The sequence below is a fragment of the Homo sapiens genome, chromosome 5 (assembly GCF_000001405.40).
Source record: "Homo sapiens chromosome 5, GRCh38.p14 Primary Assembly".
Lineage (NCBI taxonomy): Eukaryota > Metazoa > Chordata > Mammalia > Primates > Hominidae > Homo > Homo sapiens.
This window is the reverse complement of record NC_000005.10, coordinates 44638662-44651443: the sequence shown is the minus strand read 5'-3', so window position 1 is coordinate 44651443 and position 12782 is coordinate 44638662. Positions and strand designations below refer to the sequence as shown.

The 12782-nt window shown below is 37.1% G+C and overlaps 1 annotated feature.

The window, feature by feature from the left end:
• Positions 9336 to 9836: an enhancer, noted in NCBI's record as "H3K4me1 hESC enhancer chr5:44641710-44642210 (GRCh37/hg19 assembly coordinates)". NCBI's record gives its function as "activates a minimal SCP1, AML or CMV promoter by ChIP-STARR-seq in naive H9 embryonic stem cells {active_cell/tissue: H9 hESC(naive)}" and the evidence as "EXISTENCE:reporter gene assay evidence [ECO:0000049][PMID:30033119]".

Below are 12782 nucleotides of genomic sequence, written 5' to 3'. Positions count from 1 at the left end.
TCTCACCCATTAGAAAAGAAATGCTAAATGACGTGTATAATGAAGCCAATAAGATCTACAGAGCCACGTATTAATGAGGCCCTTCTTATGTCCAGAAATTTAAGAAAAGATGCAAGGTATAGATACTATAGAAAAGTAAGAGTGTGAAGAATAATAAGATCTCATTCCCAGCATAAGATGTTTAACAGTCAGCAAGTAGGCTATGATCAGATTCAGTGACACAAAGTCTGTGAAAATATCCCCTTGGTATAAAAAGCTGAGACTGGATGCTCAAAGGTTATAGCCAAAAGGAGAAACCCCTAACTCTAAGGACAGGCATTGGCTTTCTGATCCATATGTATTCTCTTTTTTTCTATATCATAATTTTTACTTTTCACTAGGCAGTCTTCTGAGAATAACAGTATATCTGTAAAGTTGATGCATGCTTGTCAACATAATTTACATAAGTGGTTATGATACAAATAATTTGATACAAACTATCTTGTCTCTTGAAATTGCAAAGTTAAAGTCCTTTTCTGTATCTATTTTCATAAATATTAGTAAATATATAAAATTACAATCAACATAGGCACATGTCTTCCATTAAAAACTGTGTCTCGGTGAAATATCAACATCTCAGATTTGATTAAGAAAGACATAAAAAGATTTGACATTTTTTTTTACTGTTAAACAACTTAAGATTTTAGACCAGAAAGATTATTTGCATTTGAAGATCTCAAAAAGATACATATCTGCCTTTTGAAATCCATATTTGACTCACTGTTTTGCCCTCCCCAATCCTTTTCCTAAAAATTACAAAATGAAGAAATATCTACTGCTTAAAATAAAGAACATTAAGAGAAGTCATCAAAAGCACAGACATAATTGCTATCATCAGAAATGAAGAAAACGTAAATTTTCACTTCAGTCAGCAACTTGGGGAAAGGTGGTGCAAGTTACATTAAATTTCTGAAAGTAAGGGTTCAAAAGTATTTCCTATATTATATTCCCAATTTTACTCTTTGGTTAAATTGTTCTTTGAGTCAGAACTCCAAAAGTAAGATTCTACACCCAAACATTTATCACTCTTGCTCTGTAACACAAGTGTGCTGAGAATTCAAATCCCAAATGGATTCAAACTCCAAATGGATTACATAAAAGTACTGACCTAAAATTAAAACATTTGTAAGAACATGATAAATAAGAGGTGAAGAGTCTTAATAACAAAGATTTTGATATATTTAGAGAATTTCTTAAAATATATCTCCAGATTCCTTTTGTTTTACACAGTTGTTATCTAAATGCCTACCATGAATATCAAAATATACTGTTACAGTTTTATCCAATTATCATTTTTACTCTAAAATCGTTATTTTACTGAGCAATTATGTGCAGTAACTATTTTAATAGTTTATTCTGTACAGTTTTCTTACCCTACTTATTTGTGTACTAGGATATAAGTTCTGGAATTGTTTCTATTGCTAGTAATTACTGTATAACGGTAACACATTTTAAAATGGCAGATTTATTTGGTTTCTCTACTTACTAATGGCCAGAAAATATAGGATTAGCACATGAGAAAAAAATACCAATAGAGCTAAATAGGAGACAATTAAATTTATGTATGGTGCTCACATTTCACTGCCTAAGTTCCAGACACAGAATTCCCCTCCAAGTGGGGCTTGGTATAATTTGGAAGGAGTTCTGGTGTTCAGTCAATAGATCTTTGCCATCTCTGGTAGCTTTGCCCTCCCAACCAAAACAGGTTGTCACCAATTTTCACATAGTGTAAGTCTTTTGATTGAATAGTTCTGTTCAATGAAAGTTGGAGACATAAATCTTGAGGGAGCTGAGAGACCTTTCACTAATGTGGAATTTGCAGGATTCAAGCAATTTGGCATTATTGGGAACTAAAGAGAAGCCTTGATTTGACCAGACATGTAAGTTAAGTCTAGAAAAAATGCTTAAGCTAATAAATTGAGATGGCTGGATAACTACACTATAAATCAATCAAGAAATCCAGATGACATTATAAACCACAGCCATAATGCTCTTGTGGAGAAGTAATGCTCTTGTGGTTTGCAAAAACATTCTGAGCTTTTGAGAGATTTCATGGTTGGAAATCTATTTCTAGTCATCCAGTACTATTTATAAAAGGGGGATTGTTTTTTGTTGTTCTTATGGTTAAAAATTTCAGTATAAGACAGCAGTTTAAAAACACCACTTAAGAAATTTAACATTTTTAGCAAAAAACTTCCCGGGAAAAGCAATAATGAACACGCCCAGGGGCTGTTTGATATTATGTGACACTGGGCTTCCAAATTATCAGGCTAGTTTTACTATAAGGCCATGCAGTGATCCTGAAATCTCACCCCACCTGCCTCTATCACAAAAAGAACATCTACCCCACTGAAAATGGTACGGAAGATCACAAAGGACAGATGCACAAAAATGTGTATGTTTCTTCAAATGACAGCAAAGCAAATTGAGAAGAAAATTGTTTACTACCACACAGTGACCTCCACTGTGTCTTCTATACATACTTTCCCCCTCTCAAACTCTTCTGTTTAAATGCCAACTTTCTATAATTTGCTGTGTCCTAAAATTAAGCTATTCTTTAATTCCTTCATATTTGTGTGCAGTTCGATTAGTAGGATAAAGAAAAACATGTGTACTTACTTATTTTTACGTACTTTACCCTTCTCCAGAAGGAAGATCATGCAGCTTCCATCAATTCATTAAGTGACAAAAAATTACATAAATTAAATGGGAGACAAGCAATGCAATGGAAGAGACAAAAAGTTGGGCCAGTGACAAACCTAAAGGTGTTCCCTTCCTTATTATAGTTCAACCACAAACTTGCCTTCAAATCTACTTTCATTCAGGGTGAAGAGAGAAAGGTGATGAACTGATTTTCAGAATTCATAGTATTAAAACTAACCACACCTAATAATAATAGCAAATAATAATAATAGCAAATATCTAGTACAGTAATTTTAAAATGCCAGGTAATAATGTTATCAAGAAAATCTTACAATAGACTCCACAATAATTTTAAAGGCACATTTCTCAAGTAGACACACCAAAATGCAAATTAGTAAAATCAAGTCTGTGGAAGAATAATTTCTGTGTAAAAAGGGATTACGTTCAGCTATAATAATGATGAATGGCCACTTGAAGGTGGTGATATTTGCATCAATGTAAAAGAATAAGCAGCTTTCTAGAGGTAGGTAGTGTGGGGAAGATGGAAATTATTTTTAGAGAGTATTTTTTAAACCAAAACTAACACTTGAATGAAATGGAAGAGTCAAAACCATTAGGAAACTAGAACTGCACATTAAATCAATCATGTTTCAGTTCATAAATGAATCCACTAAACACATATTACACCCTGGCAAAGGTTTGATTGGCAGGTTTCCCAGTTATAACTCTGGCCCTTATATAGATTCCCAGGCTCCTCCAGACCTACTGAGTCTGATTCTCTGGGTAAAATCTGTGTTTTCAAAAAATTCAAATAATGCTCTTAATGTCTATAAGTCAAGGAATTGAACCCAGGTATTTCAAATTGCAGTAAAATTCCTTAGGTCCGTGTCACCACAAAAACTTTGAGAATCAGCCTATGACTGTTAACACATTTTAAAGCAGTAAATTCTCTAATAAAGAAATAATACGTTATGTAGCTTGCCTTCCAAACTTCATATTCAGATTGGTGCTGCATTTCTGTTTGAAAGAAGTGCTCTTCCTTCAGTAAAGAAGCATTTGTCACGTTTTTAAAGCACTCTTTTGGAAAGAATATGTACAATTCAATCAAAATATGCCTACCTCCATTCTGGTTTGAAATAAAATCATTGTGCTAATGTATTGGGGTTTTGAAGAGGCATATTTTATATGTTAATTAAAGTGAAAGCCTATCTTAAAAAATGTCACTGACATATAATTTGCCTTAAATCTCAGATAAAATTGTCTTGCTAGTCTTTAGACTCATGGAATTGTCTAAAACAGAGGCCAGACCTTTTATTTTATTGCTGGACACTTGAATAGCAAATGGTGAAATAGCAAACATAATTTGAGTTTTATTTAACTCATCCACCAAATTAGTCTACCTGTTGGGTTTTTTCAAAAAAATACTTTTAGCTGATTCCAGCTTGGATGCCACAAGATGTTCTCATACACTCACATCTATAAAATAGGCCCACAAGTCTTCCCCACTTTTTCTCCCTAACTTGGGCTAAGGGATAAGTCTAAAAACAGATCGTGTTTTCCAGTTTATGTTTCTCAAAGTGCTTAAGAATGAAAAGATGGCAACACATGCAAAAGTGGGCAAGTTGTTTAGAGGAAGGACTTTCTGGGCTCATAAAACCTCTAGAATAAGATTTGCCTTTGGTATTTTGGATGCTTTTGCCAGCATCATTTTCAGGCAGTACTACCCAGGAGCCAGCTTTCTCAGGATAAAAATCCTAGGCAATGTGCCTGATCCAGAGCTCAATTATTTTAATTATTAGGTATAGATGAAAAAATTATAGTAGTTTATATGAGAAATGATTAGGAAACTCAGTTTTCACCAAAGAAAACTTTAGATAAATAGAAATAACCAGATGGATGGATATATGGTGGATGAAAGGATAAATGGATAGATAGATAAATAAGTAGATAGGAGATTAGAACAATATAAAATTGTTATTATATTGTTCTCTGTAATTCTAAATCTAAATCCAAAAAGTAAATAATAATAGCCATTACTTAAAATTCCATATGTGCAATTACAATTTTTGAGATTTTTAAAATATATTATTCTCTTACCCTAAATACCTATTCATATTTATCCTGTTCATTTCCCTAACTACTCTGGTCATTAATTACTCATGAATGAATTTGCTAATCTAAAGGAAAATTGAGGACCAAGGTATGTTGATTTATTTCAATTACATGTCTTCTTAGATTCACGTTCATTACTCCCTTTAAAAATGAAACACAACAAGCTAATACATTGTGTTCATGTCTTTTTTTTTTTTAACCTTTGAAAAGCACACAGCACCTTGCCAGGCATATAGTAGGTGTTTAAAATAAATGTGCTAAATTAAACTAACTATTGCCCACACTACACATAAATTGCGGCCTAAGAGCAGCAGTGTGCAAAAGCACACTCTGTAATGACCCAGTTCAGCTGGACAGATTAAAGTCTGGGGCATAGCATTTCAGTGGCTTGATCCATCTGCCACCAGTCACTTGTGGGAAGAGGCTTCTGTTTCTTGTCAGCCAGCAATAGGAAGCCCAGCAGGATTTAGTAGCTGCTGAAGCTCCAAAGGAAAGGGCACAGTACACACCATTCATGTCAAGTCCGTTACGAGATCCTGGTTTCCTTATCCTCCCCGTCTGGTAAATAAACACTCTCCATGCTGTTTTGCCTCAGATAATACCTCACTTACTAGGTCAGAAAAAAATACACTCAGCAAGGAGTTCAATAAACCTATTTATAAGAATAAAAGTACATATAATTTATATTTGATCTCACAGAGACTATGTAAAGATTGAAAGCATTAGTTATTCGGCTTGCTCAAATTTCTCTTCAGCCACCAATGGTTATTTGATACAGTCAGGCAAAGTGAGATTTTAAAGTAATATTATCAAGATACTATTTCAATGTTCAACTTCACATTCTGTGAAGTCACAGTGAAAGAAAAAAAGCAGTCCCTTCAGTGAAATTACAAATAATCTTTATTTCTTATCAAAAGTGGAATACTTAAGACACTCATTTATTTCAGCACTTGTGGCCTGCCAAATGGAGAAATCTTTGTACGCAGGCAATGGGTGTAATTGAAAGGTACGAGGCCACATTAACAATGTTTTTGTTGTTGCTGTTGTTTTGGTTTTTAACCTTCAGAGCAGTCCCTTTGCTCAATACCTCATATCCTCTTTTCTGACTTAAAGAGCAGAACAGCAAAGTATTAATAATTTGATAAGTAATCACTGAGTTCATTTGCAATACTATTCTAAAATTAAAAGCCAATTGATAACGTTACACCAAATAGAATTTCAGCAGTAAAATTTCTTCAGTGAACAGATCAACATAGCCCACAGCTATGCTGCTGGGGAGTGGGGTTGGGTGTTTTGGGCGAGGTGTCATTCATCAGTGCACGTGGGAGGAGGAGGAAGATACTAAGTTAAAGATATTGGTTTGCAGTAGTGATCTCCCAGGAACTACACATTTTCTTTCTCTTTTTCTTTTTCTTTCTTTCTTTTTTTTTTTTTTACCATGACCCATTTTTTGAATACAAAGACACAGTACCCCGCTTTTGGGAAACAACTGAAAAATAGGGGAATAGATAAGAAAGTTTTTTTGTCTTACTTGTTTTTGTGTTTTTTTTATATTAAACTAAAATTTCATTCACTAGTAAAGTTTTTTTTAAAGAATAAATTGCTTGCTGGATGTATTGAGGTAATAAAAGTTTTCCTTTTCCTTTATATGAAGCAATATAGGATATTAGCTTTATGAGGCACTTGCCAGTAAAAAATAGATGAATATGTGTTAGTTAAGAATAAAGAGACATGAGGACATGAGGATACTCCCATGATCAGGTAACTTTCAGTCATCTAAGTGGAATCAACGGGCCTGATTATTTTCTCTTTCTATAATTACACATGTTCAAATGGTCAGCCTGCCTGGAAGAAAGGACTTTTATGTTCTGTATACAGCACCGGGTCTTAGAAGGAACATCATAATTCTCTTTAGAGATTGTCCAATCTTCTTTGGGTAAATCAAAACAAATCAGCAGCTGCTGCTAGGACAAAGTTACATTGGACACACTTTTTTAGATAGGGACAATTATGCGATGACTGTTAAACTCTTAAGCCCAGGTTCCTTTTTTTCTCTCTCCCCACACTGCACCCTGGTTCTGGCCCTCAGCAGCTCTTGCTCAAACTCCTGCATGTCCTCTGCTGGTTTCTGTCTTCTCATCAAGTATTTGAACAGCTGAGCCGTAATTTTAATAAAGCTCTATGCAGCACCCACAAATTTTTTTAAAAAAGAGATATTTTGGTAGCATAATGCCACAAAAGGTTTAAATTTATAATTGACTCATTCCTATATTTATCAGCATTATGGGTGACAACTGTCACCTCAGCTTTCTAAATCTTACTTCAGTTACAGGGTATCAAGAAAATATATTTCTAAATCTTACTTCAGTTACATGGTATCAAGAAAATTCTGAATCATGCAGATAAATCATGCAGTTAAATAGATTCATAAGTGTAAAAGAATATATGAAGGTCAAGTTTGTTTCTAATTCATATTACAAGGTTAATAAGTGCCAACATTTCTCTAGTAAGTATTTAATTTGGAGAGAGTGGATGAATAGGTTCCTTGGCCAGAAAAAAAATTTCAAATGCATTTTGTAGCAGTATGAAGTAGTCAATGGTACATATTTTTAAATATTAAAAACTTTACCATTTATCCATGGATATTTATCAGCTATCCATTCAATGTCTCAAAGCAGCCACATTTATTTTGTTTTAACGTTAGGTTCAGATGTTTTAATTTCATTTCTGGCACTTTATCTGCAGCTCTAAGTCAAATTCATTCAACTCTAACACATTCAGGTGTTCAAAATGACACAACTTTGCTTAAGAGGTAGTTGGCTAAAGAATTTACTTCTTGTCTTTAAAAGGTAGCATTTTCCCATCTCATTTTAAATACTTGATTCAGTACTTCACCCAAAGACATTTATCTAATTAGCATAAAAAGGAAAATTTCTGGAACTCACTGCCAATATGATTACAGGTAACTAAAAAATCTGAAACTTAAAATTGTACCCACTAAATCAAGAATTTATGTGGAATTATCTGATACTGTTTTGAAGACACTGTCATCTTCTTAACAGTTAGCTAATCTCCAAGACTTACATACATTTTTAAAGTGTTGTTACACCTGTGTGGGTATGCTTCTTGCTCACAGTGTATTCACATCATGAGTAGGGCATCACTACACTTTTGCCAGTCTACTGGATACTGTGTTAAAACTAAGTTTTTCTTCTTCTGTTGTAAATTACTGTGTGATTTACAAAAAAAAAAAAAAAAATCACACTTTGGTCTATCGCATGGCTATGTTTTTAAAAAAATCAATCAAAATAGAAAAACCAGCAATCCTATGCTCTCATAGAGGTAAATTATAAAGATTCCACATAATTCTTTCCTTTAAAGAGATGCATCTAGTATGTTGCACATTGTTTGATTCTTCTCTGAAACAGAATTATTAGGCAATGCTTTCTTTAGCAATTTATGTATGCAAAAGACTCATTATAATGTCAAAAGTAGATTTCATAAATCTGTGTATAGAATAATGCCTACTTCATTGCAATGCAATTTATTTTGAATAGAAATTTTTATTGAATACAAATAAATATAATTTATTTTGAATACAAATTTTTATTGAGACATTTGAATTTTGTTTGTGTGTGTGTGTGTGTATGTGTGTGTGTGTTGAAAACGTTAAGCTGTTCAGTAAATGATGAAAGAGAAGAGCCTTGTTTTTATGTGCTGAATGTTTTCTTACAAAATGACATTATAACAGCAGGGGCTATAAAAACATCAATTTTACAGCATAAAATATATTATGGACTGAGGTAATTTTTATTACCTTAAAAGGTGAATCCAATAAATTACTGGCATCAGCTTTCTTGTTGTCCAGGAATTTTCTGTGAGAAGTTTTGGTGCAGTGTTTTGTGAAGCAGCACAGTACGGTAGTTAAGATACCTTAGGATGGCAATACCAGCCTTCTTCAAAACCTTGCTCACTGCTGTGTGGCCACAGATAGCTATGCAGTTATCTTGTGCCTTGGTTCCCTCTTCTAAAGTACGGAAAACAGTCGTGTCCACCTATAGGATTATTGTAAGGATAATATAAATTTTATCTCATGCAGAAAAACCTTTGATATTTGCAGGACCTAGAACAAGAATATAAATGAAAACTCCCATACCATATTGAAAATGTTCTATCTCTTACTAATAGTGGTAGCCTTTCTGGAGCAGCCACTGCAGGGACACCAGCTCCACCAGGGGTGGTAGAGCTGGTAGATACCAGGAACAGGCAGGAGCCCTGTCCCCTATCAAGTTAAAGGGGCAGGAGTCCTGCACTCCCAAGCACAGCTGCAGCTGCCCAGCTGCAGCTCTAGATCTGGGCATCCCTGCACTCTCAGGGGCTCAGAAAGCAGCCCCCTACCCCTGCAGGCTTGGAAGTGCCTGCTCCTGCTCCCTGGTCTCTCTCTGCTCCTGGCACCCACTTTGATTTTGGAGCAAAGTTGAAGTTGAACATAGGCACTGTTGCCATCTAGCCAGGTATGTGCACACTTGGGGCAGCGCTGACATGCCAGCCCATCCCTACTCTCCTTTGGCCCCCCTCTGAAGCTATGGGCACTGAGGAGCTCAGGGAGGGAGGCCAGAAGCAGGGCTGAAGGGTGGCTTGGCACTGGACTGCAGGTGTTCCTCTGCATGAACAGCCTGGGCATAGTGGATGGCATGTTGCTGGCAGGAAGCAGACAGGTTCTTGGGCTGAAAGGGGTGGGTCCCTGGTGAAACCTCACTTTTAAGCCAAGGAGAGCCTGAACCCTGGAGGCCGGGCTGCCAGTTTTGGATGGAGTTTATGGCCCAGAGTGAGAATTTATGGTGCTTTTCTCAGGCCCACCCATGGCTGCCCATGGACCCATCAGCACACACTTCCTCCCTTCTGAGACCATAAAAACCCTGGACTCAGCTAGACCCCAACAGACATTGGAACAGCCTGCCTGTGGAAAGGAGTTACCCACTCTAGGCCTTCTCTCCACTGAGAGCAGGACACTCGTCAGGAAGACCTGCTGCAGAAAGGAGCTACCCACTTTGGGTCTCCTGAGAGCTGTTCTGTCACTCAACGAAGCTCCTCTCCACCTTGCTCACCCTCCAGTTGTCATGTACCTCATTCTTCCTGGAGGTGGGACAAGAACTCAGGACCCACTGAATGGCTGGACTGAAATGCGCCCCAGCCCCTCTTGCCATGTTGTGGGTGACAGGAAGGAGAGAGGAGCTGTGGGCCTTTGGGGAGCCCTGACCTAGGGGTTCCCCAAGCCAGGGCTGTGACACCCTCTTTGGGGCTCTGCGGTTCCTCGCATCTCCAAGCTTCCAGATCCCACTGTGATCCCCTTGTCTAAACACAGGTGCCCATAGTGGAAGCCACGTGTGGTACATCTGGTCCACCTGCAGCCTTGCATAGAGCTGGCACCTGTGCTGGCACCTGGAGCTGCCTGCCCTGCTGCAGCAACCAGTATGCCTGGCTGTGCACAGTGGCAAGACCCCACGCTTGCTTACCCACACACCCCTTGCCACTCCGTGCCTCACTCACCCTTGGCAGGTGTTGGATCTGAGCTGGTAGTGTGAGGTGAATGCAGCCTGCCAGGCAAAGTGGGTAGAACAAGCTTATTGGGTGCAAGCAATACTCAGGCAGAAGGCACCACCAGCTATAGATATTTCCAGCTGGTGAAGGGACACCCCAAGGATTCCGTGACACTACCTTGAGAAATATACCTCCATAAGGATGTGGATGACCAGATTTGAATTTAGGATTCTGGACTCCACCGAGTCCTGCTGTGGTATATGGTGGCGTCCTACCAATTGGCCCCCAGTCTGCAGTCTGATCAGCTTCTCTCCTTGTCTCTGACCTCATTTCACACCTTGAGGTGCTTTTCATGCATGTAAGTGGTCATCTTGACCACAAGTCAAAGCTCCAAAACAATCAATAAAAAGACAACCCTTCGCCACTCCTCAGTCCTAGGGGTATACAAACCAGCAGCATAGATGTTTCAGGGGGATTGACCTAGGTAAGAACTCCATGTAGACCTTGGAAGTAGACTTGTGGGCAGAAAATTCTGGAATACAGAACACCAAGAACATGGTCTGGAAAACAGTTGAGATTATTCTTTAATTTAATGAACTCATTTGCTTTATGAAAAGGGATGTAGCTATAAAGAACAAAAAAATAGAACCCTCTAAAGCATGGGACCCAGGGCAGAGGCTCCTCATGCCTAGGTCTAAAAGCAGTGTGATTCATATCACAACTTGGGGTAATATATATAATACAGTAGGTTGTCCAAACAAACCCCCAAGCAACAAAAAATCAAAACCATGAACTCTCACCTTTATGTTCTATTCTGTTTTCATGGTATTTACCACTAGTTGTGAAATTAGTTGGTGCTACAACTTACATATTATTTTCAGCCAAATGATTTTCATTATAGCCGTCAATTTTTAAATGCTAGTTTTAAACTTATTTTTAACTAAAAATTCACTTCTAGTTTCAAGGGTAATTATGTTACCTCTCCAATAAAACATAAATAGATATATTGTTGATAAATGTTAGGCAAAAAAGAGGCCACTGAAATGTCCAGTGAGATTGTAAAATATAAAATGGGCAAATATTAAATAGAGCTTAATGTAAGTGCAAAAGATAGTACAATATAATATTACCTCCATTCTAGGCATTAAGCATTTGTTTATTACTGTGCAACTGACAAAGTGTGGTGAGAACCTGTACCCAGCTGATGTGCCTGCTTTTGCCAGATGTGTGATTTCAAACCATGGATCTGGAAACAATATTTTTACTTGAATATTCTCACAGGGCAAAATGGGTTAAAAACACAAACATCTACATAAACAAAGAGCACAAAATCAAAACCAATGTGGAGCAGTAACCTCCCTAATCAAATATATTTTTATAAGTGCCTCAAATAAATGTGCAAAAGCAGCCAGGGGAGATTTACCCCAAGTTCAGGACATTCAACAAAGGAGTTAAGCCAGCAGCACCTTTCAATACCATGAAGTCTCCAATATTCAAAATTTCTTATTCTGTGCATGACTTTTAATCTGTTTGAAAATGTTAAATTATCTTTTAAAAACTGCATTGGAATTATGTGCTTGAAGAATGCCTATAGCACCTCCAATAAACTCTTTGGCTCCACTGAACACTTTTGAAAACTTGGCTCCCACCCATCCTCCACATGGCTAGAGGATGACCTGACCATAAATCAGACACCCTTTCTTAAAATGTTGGCTTAGAAATACAGCACAAACTGCTCAGAGGAAATTGATGTTTAATATGGTCCTACCCTATCTCTCCAACACTATATTCTTCTATTCTCTGCAAGAAATTCTATTCTCACCTTAGCAGATCTCTCATAATGGATTCTTATCTCACAAGCATCTGCTTAATATGTTGTGCCTTGATTATTCTCAGCATTGGTTGAATGAGAATAGAGCAGGGATGATAATAGAACTTAAGGTTAGGAGTTTTAGGATCTAACACAACTGACGCAAAAGATTCTCATGTTCTTGGGAAGGAGATCTAAGTCAACACATTACAAGGAAGTAATTATCTGTAATGAATCCCCCCACCCAACCTTCTTCCTATCTCCACCTCACATTCTCTGCCCTGAAGGTCTACCTCAAATGTTACCTTCTCTCATAATATAATAAATTAACTACACATATTAAGAGCTTTATGTATATAGAATTGAGCTATACACTATACAACAATGCAGCTGTCTATGACAGCCAGGAAAGCAAAATCAACCAGTGAAGGAGACTGAACATGAGTGTGAAGAACTGACAAGCAAGTTCCCTCTCTAAAGACACAGCTACTACTAAACTCCATTCATTTTGACAATCTCCTACTCATTCATTTGTGAGGACAGGATTTCCTGCCCTCTATAGGATGATGCGGCCAAATACATGACACCTGACACTGGGTAGATGTGACTGACAGCCGTCTATTACTTGCAATACTGA